Genomic DNA, 16,413 nt, shown 5'->3' on the forward strand with positions numbered 1-16,413 from the left:
CTATTAGGGTCTACTTATAAGTTACATGTGATTTTTAAAAAATTTTACTTTTGTCAAAATGATCAATGGCCATGGTCACACATCAAGTCAAGTACCCAGGAGCTTTTGCTGAGAGCGCCCCCACCCTGCCTAATTTATAGCCCCATCCCTAATGCCAGGCTCTGGGAGATTTGGAGATGACCAGACACAGTTCCAGCCTCCATGTTGCTTCCACTCTGGGACAGATGACAAATGTGGAGACAGTCTATGTTATAAGAGCAACAGCCAGAGGAGATGCGAGCATGGCAGGCCTCCTGGAGGAGGTAGCCTCTGAGCAGGGTCTTGCAGCATGAGCTCTGTGTGCAGTGTGGTGGATGGAGTCCTGCATTTGGGGTCAGTGCCCAAACTCTAGGCATGGAAGAACCTTTTTTTAAATCATCCAGTAGTCACCAAGGGACTCTCCCCGTCCCTGTGCTGGGGAGGCTCTTTGGTGTAACCATCAACCCAACTGCCTAGATGGGAAGATAGGCCTGGTCAGAGGTGATCTGCATGTGGTAGTGACTGCTTTATTTACTTATTCAACAAACATTTATTGAGTACCTTCTCTGTGCCAGGCACTGTTCTAGGAGCTTGGGAGACATCAAGGTACAGATAGACAAAGATCCCTGATCCCTGGGAGCCTCCATTTTAGTAAGAGGAATCTAATCATAAGCAATGAATATAGTAAATATAGAGAATGCTAGAAGGTAACAGGGACTTCGGAACAAAGACCAAGGGAAGGCGGGGCGAGGGCGCGTCGAAAATGGTGGTAGAAAGGGTGGTGGGCTCTCAGCCCACAGGGGCTGGGGCTGGCATCTGAGCCAGTTATCAAGCAAAGCTTCTCTGAGTGAAGGCGGCTGGGTAAACAGACATTTCACATGGTTGTGGGCGTGTGGATTTCTACGGCCTCCGTGAGGGCAGCTGGGTGATGTCTGTCTAAATTACAAATGCACATACAGTTGGATCCAGCAATTACACAAATGAATCCTACAGATAAACTCACACCTATGCTCAATAACAGATGCACAAAAATATTTATGGGAGCAATATTGGGATAGCAGAAAACTAGAAACAATGCAACTACCCATGTGCTCAGCTAGTTGAATATATGTGTTATATCCACACTGTGGAATACTGGGTACAGAAAAAAGAACTATGTTCTGATATAAAACATTTTCTAAGATGTGTTGCTAAGAGAAAAATAAAGTGCAAAACTGTATAGCATGCTGTCATGAATAGAATAAATGACTCTAAAATGTGTATATGTAGACAGTCTTTGAAATGATATAAAAAAGCTGGTAGACGTTGCCTCTGGAGAGGGGCAGTGGATGGCTGGGAGGTGGGGTGGTGTTGCTTTTTGTACTCTTGGAATTTTGAACCATGTGAATATATCTTAATAAATAAATGGTTCAATTAAAATAAAATGGCTGTTTGCTATTGGTGCCCCACTCAGAACCCTTTACTGACCAGCACAGACATCTCCCACCTGCCTTGAGCACAAGCTGCCTGCAAATGGCTCACAGCCAGTATAGTTCTCTGAAGACTTGTGCTTGGTCAATTGGGGGCCACCTTGCTCAGAAGGTTATGTCTCCCCATGTCCCCTAAGGGCAGCCCATGGCCTATGACTTCCTTACCTGGGCTACAACAGCCACCCCTTGCTTCGTGTTGGTACTAACTCTGCATACAATTCATGCCCCAGAGTTCCCCATCAGAGCAGGCTGAAAGAAGTCTTCAGGCAAGACCACATCCTTGCTTAGCTGTACCCACTCCTGTCCGGCTTGCCTCCCACACTTACAGGTTATTCCCAAGGAGTACTTTCTTAATAGCCACATGCATCTGAACCCTTGCCTCAGGCTCTCCTTCTAGGGAACCCTATCTAAGATACCTAGCTTAAGGGAAGGGAACTAACTGGAATTAAGTCCTCTCCATATTAATGTGTTGAGTCAAGTGCTCTACAGTGCAACATCCTATGAGGAGGGGCCTACAGGCACCATCCCCATTTAACAGATGAGGAATCTCAGAAGTTGAGGCACCAACTTGAGATCACACTTCAGGGCAAAGAGGGAGGCGGGGGTCCCAGAGCCCACATCTCTTCCCCTGCACCTGCTCCTGACTTTTTAGGCAGATTTACAGGGAAATCTTCCTGAATCCAGACTTAGCAGCTTCTCTGCACACAGGATATAGTTCCTGTACATGGTCTCTACCATAGTCCTCACTGCCTGTAGCCAGGCGTGGCCCTAGGGGCTGGGATGGCATAGGTGATGGGCCAAAACCACTCAGGATGGCAGGACCCGGAGGGCATGTCTGGGGAAGGCTGTCATGATCCCAAGGCTCTGGTGTTCTTGGCCTCCCCCAGCACATGGGATTCCAGCTCTAGCTGATCACCTGATATAATTTTGATCAAGGGAGGTGTTTGCATACTTCCAAGGATGGGCAGCTCAGCACATGGCAAGGCAGCCTGTTGTGTCTATGGACAAGTTATAGAGGGCAGAAAGGTTTTCCTATTTGCATTGTAAGTGTGATTAACAGCATGAACCTGAGCACTCAAGGGCCGTGGAACAGGGGCTGCTCCTTCCACCCTAGAGGTAGCCCTGCTGAAATGGGGCTTTGGGCATCCTGGGCTCTGATTTGCCTTCTGCAGCTCCCACAGTCCCCTGCAGTCAGTCCCCTGCCCTCCTCCGGCTGCTTCTCCTGGTGCCTTCCTGAGAGCATTTTAATCAGAGCTGCTTCTCCCTCTCTCTCTATTCTAGTTTGATGGTGACAGTGCCTACGTGGGGATGAGTGACGGAAACCCAGAGCTCCTGTCAACCAGCCAGGTGGGTGCCTCATCCTCCCTGAACGGGTGTCTTAAGATTTGGGCTGGCTGGATCTGAGCTGTTCCTGGGTGGAGGTAGGGGGTGCAGAATGGGGCCAGCACAGCCCGCTGCTGTCTTCTCTCTGAATGATCAAGAATAGCAATAGTCTCCTTAAAAGGTACAATCAAAGTGGGACTATAGTGTTCGTAAATTAACTACCTGGCTACTGTTGGCTTAAAATGGATTGGGAACTTGATGAAACTTGAAATGTATTGCCCATACTCCCCACGCTTGGGGCAGCTTTTCAGCAGCAGTGAGTTGAGGTGCCTGCTGCTCTCTGGTGCCGCCTGCCTCTTGCCACCACACAGCACCCACGGGGACATGTTCTGGTTTGGATGCACACATGCCCTTGCGTAGGCATGCATGGTTCTCCTGCCTGCTGGGAGTTGTTGAAGGCCACAGGGGAGGGTTGTGGACAGGGCACAAGGAAAGAGAGCAGAAGGTCTTACTGGTGGCAAAGGAAGCAGAGTCATTCCTGGGCAAGGCTGTCTCGAACCCCAGCCTGGCCCTCTGGGGGGTCATAGTTGCCAGTTGGAATCAGATTTTCCACTGAGAGCCTGGTCTCTGAAAATTAATGTTTCTCTCAGCTGGGAGCATCCTCACTATAGACTATGATGCCACAGAGGGTCCTTGCTGCAGGCTGAGGGTCCAGGGAGGGTCTCCCTGCAGAATGTGATGCCAGGGTGGGTCCTCACTGCAGGCTGGGACCCCAGGGAGGGTTCTCACTCTAGGCTGAGATCAGGGAGGGTCCTCACTGCAGGCCAGGACCCTGGGGAATGTCATCCCTACAGAAAGTGATGCAAGGGTGGGTCCTCACTGAAGGCTGGGGCCCCAGGGAGGGTCCTCACTGCAGGCGGGGGCCCCAGGGAGAGTCCTTACTGCAGGCCGGAACCCCAGGGAGGGTCCTCATGGCAGAATGTGATACCAGGAAGTATTCTCATTACAGGCATGGCATCGTGGAGGATGGTTCCCTAAGGCAGTGGTGCTTGCTGGGTGGGACCAGCTCGGGACACTGATTGGAGAGCCAAGGAGGGTTATAGCTGCTGAGAAACTTGGGAAGCTGGAGGGCAACCCCGGCCCTGGAGCTGACCTCTACCCTCTGTCTCTGCCATTGTGGGGGCTATGGCAGTCCAAGTTGGGTGGCCCCTCAGCCATCAGGCTGGGCACATATTTTCCAGATGGGGCAATAGAAGCCTATTAATTCACAAATATTTATGTCCCTATTCTGTGACAGGTCCCATGGAGGCCATAGATGAGTAAGACATGGGCCTGTGGCCCTAGGGGGCACTACTAGTGAGGAAGATACTGTAGTCTCAGTGGGGCATGGAAGCTCTGCTGCAGGGTGCTGCGCCCCCTCCCCTGCCGCTGCAGGATCGCTCATGCCGGGGCCACCATACCATGCCCCTCTCTGGCCTGTCCCTGTGTGAGCATAATGCTGCTGCTGCAAAGCTGCCTTTATATTGCATTGACATGCGCCAACATGCAAGACTGGTGGGCAAGACTCCAGGCCTTGGAAGTGGTTATTTTGGAAGAGTACACTGATGTCATTTAATTGTACATAATCAACTGAAGTCTCATCTCAGCAGACCAGAGTTAGCCCTGACATCTCATCTGAGCCTTTTCACAATGTTTAAATAGTATTTTTGTTAACATATTGAGCCCTGGTTTTCAGAACTATATTATGGTGAATTCTGTTCTGGAACCTACTGGAAAGCATTGGCAATGTCCTTCCACCAAGAAGGAAAAGTGGGACTCAGTGGGGCTCTGTGTCTGCTCTAGGCCTCGGCAGAGGAGAGCACAGTCGTTTGGAGAGGAGACTTGGTACAAATAAATGTCACCCTCCCCAAACCATTAACAGTCATATCCTCAACAATTCCCCCAACACTTTGCAGCTTGCAAAGCCTTTTTCTCAATGGTTATTTCAGCTAATCTTCACAACAGCCTCGAGAATGAGTAGACGTTATTGTTCAGTCAATTTTATAGATGATGCAACTGAAGATCAAGGATGTTGGCTGATTCAATCAAGGTGACTCAGCCAGGGAGCACTAGAGCTGGCATTCAAACTTGTGAAGCTCAGACTCGGAGCTCCACAAGCCTCCCTTGCCTTGTCCACTGACTTGCCTCAGCCTAAATGTCACTTCTGCAGAGAGCTCTTTGTGACTGCCAAACCCACGTTAGGTCCCCTTTCCATGATTCTCATTAAAATGGCACCAGGTCTTTTTAATTCATAGTGACAAAAATTCATAATTTTTGTCACAGTGGTCATCTACTTACCTTGTGATGACTTAGTTAATGCCTGATTTCCACCCTAAACTGTGACCACCATGGGGAAAGGATCTGGTCTCTCTGGTCCAATGCTGTGTATCCCAGTGGGGCATAGTGTCTGGAACACCGAGAGCACTCAGAAAATATTTGTGTAATGAGTGATGGTAGCCCCTGCTCTTCTCTGAACTTCAATGTCCCTAACAGTGGAACAAGGTGGTTGGACTTCCTGAGGGTCCTTCTAAATCTTTTATGCTGTGACCCAGAGGGTCTCCCTAACTTAGGACTTTATGAAGAAGATATCAAAATTCTCTGAGATTAATTAAGTCTAGCCAGTGGCATGAGCCAATCTTAATGTGAACAAATTTTGCAATTGCAGTTAGATTTCTTATAGTGTATCCGTTAGTTTTTCCTGCATAACAAACACCTCAAAACTTAGTGGCTTAAAACAACAAATGTTTATCTGGTTAATGATTTTGTGGGTCAGCAGTTTAACTGAGTTCAGTTGGGTGGTTCTTCTGGCCTTGCTTAGGATCACTTTAGCAGCAGCAATACATTGCCAGATCAGCAGTGGGCTGGTTGGTATGGGAGGCTCACCTGTGTTCCACATGGTCTCTCAGCTTCCAGCAGGCTAGCTCCAGGTTGTTCACATGGTAGGAGAAGGGTTCCCAGAGCAGCAAGAGCAGAAATTGCAAGATTTCTTGAGGTCCAGGCTTGAAATAAACACACATCTACTTCCAACACATTCTATTGGTCAAAGCCAGTCACAGGACCAGCCTAGATCAAGGAATGGAGAAATAGCCTCTACCTCTTGATGGGAAAGGCTGCAAAATATTGTGGCCTTTTTACAAACTACCACATGTAGGAAACATATGGGATATGATTCATGATGATTTTGTTGAAAAATAACTTAGACTTTTCTGGTACCTATAGCTCCTTGCAGCTCAGTGGGACCCTACTAGCTTCTAGACTTGAATGATGAAAGTTCTATATATTTCCTTCCTCTTTTCCCTGGAGTGCTTCTTGAACTCACAACGCGAGCGCGCGCGCACACACACACACACACACACATACACACATACACGTGAACACCCTCTCACAATGTGTTGTCTCATCAACTGCAAGAATTGTATTGTCCAAATTACTGGATTAAGGATTGACATCAACATTTGGGTAAAATGAAGCCCTCACAGCCACTAGAGGATTCAGAGGATAAACACTCTAAATGGCTTAAAATATGTTTTATAAATACAGTTAAATACAAGGTTCACCCAATCAGCAAATGTTTATTGGACACCTGTTATATGCAAGGCTGTGAATATCAGTGGGAAGCCATTTCTGGAAAACATTTGCTTCCAGAACATCCAATCAATATATGTATATATTTTTGAGATGGAGTCTCACTGTCACCCAGGCTGGAGTGCAGTAGCTTGATCTCGGCTCACTGCAACCTCCACCTCCTGGGTTCAAGTGATTCTCCAGCCTCAGCCTCCCGAGTAGCTGGGATTACAGGTGCCTGCCACCACACCCAGCTGATTTGTGTGTGTGTGTATTTTTAGTTGAGACAGGGTTTCACCATGTTGGCCAGGCTGGTCTTGAACTCCTGACCTTAAGTGATCCGCCCACCTCGGCCTCCCAAAGTGGTGGGATTACAGGCGTGAGTCACTATGTCTGGCCCAGAACATTCAAATCGTATTACAAATTTGTTCTTTAATGTAACACTTCTCCTGAGATGCCATCTTCTTTACTTAGAAACCGCAGCTGAGACAGAGGTTCCCCTAGGGTATGTATTAGCTGACTGTGTCCCTTTTTGAAAACTTTCACCGCCGCTCTACGGGCTTGAAGTGTTTTTTTTTGCAAATACATTCTCCATTGTTTGGTTTTTGCAAGACTCCACATAAATTTTCCCATAGCTGCTTTAGCTTCTACAAATGATCACACTCCCTCTCCCTCCTTGGACCTTGGGTTACTTTTGTACCAGACTTGCCGGGGTGGCCTGAGAATGAGATATAATTCTCAGATAGGGCTGTGTCCCCATCAGCAGCTCCAGGGGGGTAGAGGACCTGGTAGAGGTCAGTTCTTTCCTGTTGAGAGCAGACTCTGTCCAGGAGTTACAGAAATGGATATTTCCTGATGATGTGACCCAGAAAGAGTCTCCTCCTTCCTGGGACGAGGTGAGGAGGAAAGGGAAGTGGGCTTGGGACTCAGCAGACCTGGATTCAAATTCCAGCTCCTCCATGCCTCAGCATGGGCCAGATTTCCTTATGCAAGTGATAGCAGCTTCCTATCAAATGGGAGGAGTAGCAGCGTCTGCCTCCTAGAGTGTCATGAGAAGTAAATGAGGTGTGTGTGTATTGTGGATTCTGTTGCTGCCTCACCAGAGTCCTGCTCATCATTCAGCTGCTGTGAGTGTTGGCTGCTAACTATTCACAGCTACTCTTTCTTTGGAAAATTGGAACTGTGAACCCAGGAGAGGATAGAAGGGGAGGTCTAGAAACCGATATCCTTATCTCAAGGAGTGACCAACTCTGCAACTCCTCATGGGCTCCAGCTAATCCAGCCAGACTCCAGCCACCAAGGCCAAATCTTTACTCAGCTCCTCCCCTGTCATGTCCTGCCTCCCTCCCGCCCTTCTTCTAAGAGCCCTCTTCAAGTCACTTTCACAGGCATCCCCATCTCAGGCTGTACTTCAGAGGAAGCTAAACTAAGAGTATGTAAAGAACCAGAGTCAGAAAAACTAGCTATGACTTATTATTTTTTACCATATATAATGCTTTGGTCACACAAGAGCTTCTGTTCACCTCTTGCGCTCATTTACAACTTGGTGTTTTTGTATGCATTGTTTCCTCTGATGGGAATCCCCTAGTGTTTTTCAACCAACAAATGCCTATTTGTTCCTTCAGGGGCACTGCAAATGTCACCTCCTCATCACAGCCTTCCTGGCTGTGTGTAGAGTTTTCCACTCTCTTAGCTCTAAATACCACTTCTGCTAAAGAGCTCACATTTTTTACAGGAATTATTGAAAGAACTTGTGTGTGTGTGTGTGTGTGTGTGTGTGTGTGTGTATTAGAGTCAGACTGAATGACATGAATGACATCAGATTTGCAGTCTTAAAAGCTCTCAATGACAAGAATGAATACAGGGAGACCAAGTTGAGAGGGTTGGTAATAGGCCAAGTAAAGGATCAAGATCTAGATTGTGGCAGAGGGGATGGAAAGAAGTAGATGCATTGGAGATAAAGTTAGTGGGTCTTGACAGTGATGGACATAGAGGGAGAGAGAAACGGAGGGGTAAAGGATGACTCCTAGGCTTCTACCATGAGCCCATTTTCAGGCATGGTGGTACCATTTTCTGAGTTGGGGAAACCCTGGGGATTTGCAGGTTTGATGATGCCAGACTTGGATGTGTTATATTTGAGATGCTCATCCACATGGAGATGTTCAAGTAGATAGATGATGGTACAAATCTTGAGCTCATAAGAGAAGTAAATTTGGAAATCTTCAGCCCATGATATCAAAACCTTGGGAGTGAAGGAGATTTATGGAGAGAGGGAAGAACGAGAAGAGCAGAGGACCAATGACTCTGAGATGTTGAGCTCCAACATTTGAAGGCAAAGTAGAGGAGGAGAAGACTGTGAAATAGATTAAGAAGGAGTGGTTTGAGAAGTAGGAGGAGAACTTGGAGTCTTAGAAACCACGGGCAGAGTAATTCAAGAAGAGAGGGGATCTAGGTGAAAAGGATGTTGGATCCACAGTTCCTTAAAATTTATCAAAGGATAAATAAAATCCTTTGATAATGGGATCACATCAAGTTAAAACACTTCTGTACAGCAAAGGAAACAATCAACAAAGTGAAGAGACAGCCCACAGAATGGGAGAAAGTATTTGCAAACTACCTGATGAGATTAGTAATCAGGATATATAAGGAGCTCAAATGACTCTATAGGAAAAAAAATCTCGTAATCCAATTAAAAAATGGGCCAAAGATTTGAATAGACATTTCTTAAAAGAAGACCTGCAATGGCAAAGAGGCATATGAAAAGTTGCTCAATATCACTGACAATCAGAGAAATGCAAATCAAAACTACAATGAAATGTGATCTCACCCAGTTAAAATGGCTTATATTCAAAAGACAGGCAATAACGAATGCTGGTGAGGATATGGAGAAAAGGGAACCCTCGTACACTGTTGGTGGGAATGTAAAATAGTATAACTACTGTGGAGAACAGTTTGGAGGTTCCTCAAAAAACTAAAAATAGAGCTACCATATGATCCAGCAATCCAACTGCTGGGTATATACCCCAAAGAAAGGAAATCAGTATATTGAAGATATCGGCACTTCCATGTTTGTTGCAGCACTGTTCACAAAGCTAAAACTTGGAAGAAACCTAAGTGTCCATCAACAGATGAATGGGTAAAGAGAATGTGGTATTTATACACAATGGAGTATTATTCAGCCATACAAAGAGAATGAGATCCATTTGCAACAACATGGATGGAACTAGAGATCATCATGTTAAGTGAAATAAGCCAGGCACAGAAAGATAAACATTGCATGTTCTCACTTATCTGTGGGGTCTAAAAATCAAGACAATGAACCCATGGAGATAGGGAGTAGAAGGATGGTTACCAGAGGCTGGGAAGGGTAGTGGGGCAGAGGGGGGACATGGGGATGATTAATGTGTACAAAATAGAATGAATAAGATTTAATGTTTGATAGTACAACAAAGTATAGTCAATAATTGCGTATTTTAAAATAACTGAAAGAGTATAATTGGGTTGTTTGTGACACAAGGATAAATGCTTAAGGGAATGGATAACCCATTCTCCATGATGTAATTATTACTTATTGCATGCCTGTATCAAAATGTCTCATGTACTCTATAAATATGTACACCTATGTACACACAAAAATTAAAAATAAAAAATGATTTGATAAATGTTAAATCAAACATTTAAACATACTCAAGGGAACCATAAAGGCACCAGCAAAACAAACCTTAAGGTATACTTTACAAGTTTGGTGTGGGGAAGGCATTTCTACTATTTAAAGCCTCAGAAGAAAAGACTTAAAATTGGACCATAAATTAACATAAAACTAAATTAATATAAATATAAAAATTAACATAAAATCAACATATGACTTTTGTATGGCCAAACCAGCATAAGTAAAGTCAGTAGACAAAAGTTGGGCAAGAATATTTTCAACTTACACCATAGTTGAAGAACTAATCACCCTTATACATGAAGACTTGCTAGAGATCAGTTCAAAACCCTGGTAGAAAAAAAGGAAGGAGATATGAACCAATAGTTTACAGAAAAAGAAATACAAGTGGCTCTTAAGTATGTGAAAAGTGCTAAGAATCATTCATAAATCATAAGACAGCCATTTTTTACCAATTGGATTGACCAAAATCCAAAGGTTTGATAACACACTCGGTTGGAGTTCTTATGGGGAAACAGGTACTTTATACATTTCTGTGGGCAGGGTAAATGGACAACATCTATCAAAATTGCAAATACATTGACCTTTAACCCAGCAATTCGTTTTTTTGGAAATATGCCCTACAGATATATTTGTACATATGAGAAATGACATATTCAAGACTATTCATTTTGATATTGCTTTACTAAAAAAGATGTAAAACAGTACAGTATGCTACCATTTATACAAAAAGGTGATAAGAATGTATATTTCTAAGTGCTTGCATTTGATTAAATAACCTTGGAAGGATACATGGACGCTAGAGTGGCTTTGCGCGTTGTACATGCATGTACCTCTGTGTGTGTGTGCGTGGTATGGGAACTGTGCAGGTGCTGGGCAGGGATAGAAAAAGACTTTTCACCGTATCTTTTTATGTTTAGGGAGTTTTAAACCATGGGAATTTATTATAACTTTAGAAAGTTAAATAAAATGTAAGAAGAAGGAGAGAGTCAGTTAGCTCAAACACTTCTGAGGGATTGGGTGAGATGAAAGTTGAAATGTGTCCAGTCATCTTAGCGAAAAGGAAGTGACTCTGGGCTTCAGTATAAGCAGTTTTGATGTGCAGGGTCATTGTTCTGGTCCCATGGGCAGATTGAGAAGCGTGAGGTGAGGACATGTAAACAGTAAATATAGACAACTTGTGTGAGAAATTTAGCTGTGCAGGACAAGGGCCAGGGCCGAGCTCAATGAGATGAAGATTCCATAGAAGGGATTTTCTTTTTTTTTTTTTTTTAAAGAAAAGTCTTTAGAATATTTAGTCATCAATGGAAAGTGTCAGGAGAGAGGGTGAAGCTCTGGGTTTAGGAGGGGGAAAGGCTAAGGGATGCTTTCAGATTTCAGAGAAAGTGGGAGGGTCTGGATCCTGCTCAGAGGTGGTGGCTCTGGCCTTAGCTGGGAGTGCTGGGTGTGGAGGACAGCAGAGAAAAGGAGTGTGGCTTTGTAGATGGGTTGGCTGGGAGCAGAGGGTGTCTGCACCTGAAGGTGTCAGTCTTCTCAGAGAGTTGGTGGGCCAAGAGCCAGGGGACTGCGGGTGAGAGGTGGTGGGGAGGTCTGGGGTATTTGCTGTGGGGCATGGGAGAATGAGCTCCCGGTGCTTGTGCTGTGGGGCAGACAGGTGGGTTAATCCAGGGCAAGAGATCTGCCAGGCAGTTGCACCAGAAGGACACAACAGCTTTTTTTTACTCAAAAGAGACTAATGTAAAGGATCAGGGAATCTAAGCTGCTTTTAGAGAGAAGACGGGTCCCAGGGCCTGGGGTCCAGTGCAGCTAAAGAGCTAGTGGGGAGCAGCTGGATGGCAAGGACACCTTATTCAGAGTGGGACGCTGGCTGGTGATTTTGGAAGTGAGCAGGCCATGGCATTGGCAGGGGCCTGGTATGCCTGGGGAGCAGGGAGCTGCATGGGGGAGAAGCTCCTGGGAGGTGAGGAGCCCACTGCCCAGCACAGCATGGTGGCTGAGCTGAAGGGCCCTGGAAGGATGCCGGGGTAGGGTGGATGGGAAGGTGGGACCCAGAACTGAAGGCTGGAAGAATGAGGGGCTGGATGCTGATGGGGCTGGGTGTGATGGGATTTATAGGGACAATCAGCAGGGGTCTGAATGGATGGGGCAGTGGAGAGGGAGAAGGATGTCAGTTCCTCTGAAATTCCTGTTGAGGCAGGAGGCAAGCAGAAGGCGTGTTCTAAGGCAAGGCTGGGAAATAGGGTACTTTGTTCCTAGAGTGAGAATCCCAGTGGCTCCAGAGCTGTTTGCAAGGGGAATGACACTGCACAATTGAACATAAAGATTCTGGGGACTTACACATGAGGTGCTCCCTGGGGAGCTCTCAGGTCTCTGGGGTGCGGTGTGTGCCACCAAATGTGAACCTGCTGGCTGTGAGCCTCACAGGGCATGCGCAGCACCCAGTGTGGCCCCTGGCCCCACTGCCCCTGTAGCATCCCTTCCCGATGCTCCAGCAGAACGTGTGCTGGAGTACAGCCATCATGTCATACAGGCCAACATCCTCATGCTACAGAATGAGGCTTCTCAGTGCCTCACACCACACCTGGCATGCAACAGACACACAAGAACTTGGAGTTCGTGATTCTTGCTCTTGGTTCCAGCACCACCATCATGTTTGTGCAGCAACCTTCCTTCACAGATCCCCAAGTTTGCCTGGTCTGTTTCTCTCACCACTTGGATCAAGCATCTCCCCACTAGGGTGGGGAGATGGTACCATCAGGAGGCCAGAAGACAAGGTGCTGTTCAGCTTCTAGAGGAGAACTCAGACCTGCCGCTCCCTGAGCACTGAGGTCCTTGCGGCCTCAAAGTCACAGCCTCCTTCCAGCAGGGGGCAGTGTCAGATGCCCAGAATGGGAAAAAGAGCCAGGAGCTCTGAGTTCGAGGCTCCGCCCTGCTCTTAGGCCTTCACCTGTGCTGGTATCACTCTGAACCTGTTTCCTCATGTGAATAATGAGGGTAGATGGTCTGTTTTTTCCAGCACTAAATGATGATACCGATGATCAATAACATTTGCCCTGCACCTCCTTAGGCTCAGGCTCAGGGGCTAAATGTTTTCCATGGGTGGTCTCATTTCATCCTCACATTAACTGTGTAGGTGGGCACTATTGCTGTCCCATTTTACAGAGGAGGAAACTGCAGCACAGAGAGGCAGAGGAGGGTGAGGCTCTTCGAAACAAATAAAAACCCTCCCCAGTAAATGTATTGGAGGCAGGCGACCCTCCTGCTGCTGTTGAAATCTAAGATTTCTGTCTTAGTAATTCTGGCCTCTGAGTCTGTGTACACTGTAAAGGGCAAAGATGACAAGGCTTTTATTGCTTTAATTAAAACCTGGGTGAAGAGCTCGCGATTCATATTAAAATGAAATTGTGTTTCACCCGCTGTGGTGCGGAGAAGGTAACAGCGGTGATTACTGCTAAGATTACAAACAATCAAAGAGAAAAGGCCTTTTGCAAGCATTTCCTATTAAAGCCACAAACATCACACTTTAAAAATAATTATGGTTGTGTTATCAGAACATGATTCATGAGTTCTGAATAAATACCAGAGGCCTTAAAGGAAACTGTTTCAAGACCATAGATTTTGTTCAAATCTGATGAAATTTAATATCACTTCACAGTTGGAGAATAAAATACAAGGAGGGGGAAAAAGCCCATCCTGTGTATATGGAGAGAATTGAGTATATATGTCAGATTGAACTAATGAGCTCTTCCCCATCAACCCTAAACACATACTCAGAAAAAATGGCCTAGCTTCTCTTATTTTCACTGAGAGAAAACTGCCGAGGAGGAGTGAGTACTTATATCTCACCAATCTTAATTTTACATCCCAATGGCCAAAAATATATTTATTTTAAAGCTCTTGATTCCTGCCTATGAGACGTTTAAATATTTGAGGGCGCAGGCATGGAGACATTGGGGAATGGATGGGGGGAGGACTTTGGTCTGCATTTATGGTGCCTCCCCTGTCATAAAGATATTTTTCATACAATGCAGTGAATGTTTATGGCATATAGTTTTGTTTCCTTCCAACTATTATGAGAGAAATTGAATCCCAGGAAATGTTCACTCTCTCTAAATGGGATGGAAACAATGATGATGATGTGGGAAGTGCAGGGGCCTGGGGGAGGGGATAGCAGTGGGGTGGACACGTGATTTCAAGGATTTTCTTAAAAACAGCACCCTTCCCCCTCCCAGCCACCTCCCAGCCACCTCGAACTTAGCATCCCCTGTAGGACCTGAGTTTTTACTGGGGAGGGTCAGAGAATGAAGATTTTATACATTGTTCATTGCTGTGTGTGAGCTCACTGGTGACCAAGAAGTGGAAATGAAGCCAGACGTGGGGACTTTCTCAGAATGGGACTGGGTTCTTATCTTCTGGAGGGTCAGGATCCTGGTTCCGGCCCCTCCTCAGCCTCTCTCCCTGTGTCCCCTCAGACTGGTCATTTGTCCTCTCTGGGCTCTGGTTTTTGCATCTGTGAATGGGGATTGGATGAATATCTCTGAGGGACCTTCCGGGTTGACTTACAGCCAAGGGCTCAGCCCCCTTCACCCACTGCCTGAGCGCCCAGGAGGGACAATGGTCTGTCCCAGAGGTCTTCCCCACCTGGCTGAGTCACACCAATGCTGAGAGGGCCCCGCAATGAGGCTGGAAGCTGTGTGTCACATTTCAGCCCACCAGGCATGATGATAAGGAGCTGGGTTATAAAGGTAATGACATGAGAAGGCAGAACTGGGCTCAAATGATAATCTTGACACATGTGGCTGGGGAAGCTTGGACAAGTTAACCAAGTTTTCTGAGCTTCAATTTTGTCTTTAGAAGTTCCTCAGAGTGATGCAGAAGTAAATTAAGTGTGTTTATATCCAAAGTGGTTATTCTAGTGCTTGGTACATAGCAATTGGTAGTTAGCCTGAGGTGCTACTAAAATCCCCATTTTATAGATGGAAAACATTATTTTCAGTAAGGTAAAATGGGACAGGTACATACTCAGCCCCAAGTAGAGGCCCGGAAGCCCTGGGGTCAGGCCAGTGATGCAGGCCTTCGAAGATGCATCTGCTTGCGAGGTAGCAGGGTCTGTGCCAACAGCCACCCGGTGGCGCCGAGCTCATAGTTGGGAGGGTGCTTAGAGCAGAGTGAGGAGCTGGGGCGCATGGCTTTAAGAGGAGTGTGTGTCCAGCTGGGAAGGATGAGCAGGCGGTGAGAGTGACCCATGCACTTGGAGAGAGAGATGGGGAAGGAGGGCTCTGAGGAAGGTTGCTGTGCATTGGGAGGTGGGATCTTCCTCTTATAAGTCCCCTGAAGAAAACCTTCAGTGAAGTTCTTTGTAACTGCCCAAAGGCTTTAAAAGTTAGCACAGTGTGACCTTTGGCTATTGACTGCTGGGATGGCCCTCAAGGGTGGGAAGTTTGTGGCTAGTGGTTATACTTGTGCCATGTGTAAACTGAGCAGTTGTAGTTTTATTGTTGCCACTAGCCTTCATAAACAATGGTTGGCAATTGCAACAGGAAAGATATAATGGGAAGGGACGAGGAAGCCTTTTAAAATGTATGTATGTATGTATGTATGTATGTATGTGTGTATTTTTTGAGATGGAGTCTCACTCTGTCACCCAGGCTGGAGTACAGTGGTGTGATCTTGGCTCACTGCAACCTCCGCCTCCTGGGTTCAAGTGATTCTCCTGTCTCAGCCTCCCGAGTAGCTGGGATTACAGGCATGTGCCATCATGCCCAGCTAATTTTTGTATTTTTAGTAGAAATGGGGTTTTTCCATGTTGGCCAGGCTGGTCTCGAACTCCTGACCTCAAGTGATCTGCCCACCCCAGCCTCCCAAAGTGCTGGGATTACAGGTGTGAGCCACTGTGCCCGGCTTTAAAATTTATTAACATGGTATACTCCCACCGAAACGGAGAATATGTAAAAGACTAAGTTGAGAAGGATCTGGAGGAACCAGTACCCTCACTCACTGCTGTGTAAATTGGTACCACCATAGATGCCATTTTGCAGTATCTAAAGCTGAATATATGTCTCTATGACTCAGTAATTCAACTCCACAAATGCCTTCGTATGTTCAGGCCAGGCGTGGTGGCTCATGCCTGTAATCCTAGCACTTTGGGAGTCTGAGGTGGGAGGATCGCTTGAGCCCAGGAGTTCAAGACCAGCCTGAGCAATTTAGTGAGACCCCTGTTTTAAAAAATTAAATAATTAGCCAGGTGTGCTGGTACATACCTGTAGTCCCAGCTACTCGAGAGGCTAAGGTGGGACGATCACTTGAGCCCTGGAGGTTGAGGCTGCAATGAGC

At 46.3% G+C, this 16,413-nt stretch overlaps 1 protein-coding gene across 12 annotated transcripts in view; it reads left to right on the forward strand.

Annotated features, from left to right (window-relative positions):
* The window catches only part of TOX2 (TOX high mobility group box family member 2), a 154,765-nt gene that overhangs the window by 55,747 nt on the left and 82,605 nt on the right, over positions 1-16,413 (forward strand). For all 12 annotated transcript variants that reach the window (XM_047440561.1, NM_001098797.2, XM_047440565.1 and 9 more), the window contains one exon: positions 2,769-2,834. In XM_047440561.1, coding sequence (XP_047296517.1) covers positions 2,796-2,834 — 39 coding nt within the window. In that variant the 5' untranslated portion in view covers positions 2,769-2,795. The remainder of the gene's footprint in view (positions 1-2,768; positions 2,835-16,413) is intronic.

This window comes from Homo sapiens, chromosome 20, assembly GCF_000001405.40.
Source record: "Homo sapiens chromosome 20, GRCh38.p14 Primary Assembly".
Lineage (NCBI taxonomy): Eukaryota > Metazoa > Chordata > Mammalia > Primates > Hominidae > Homo > Homo sapiens.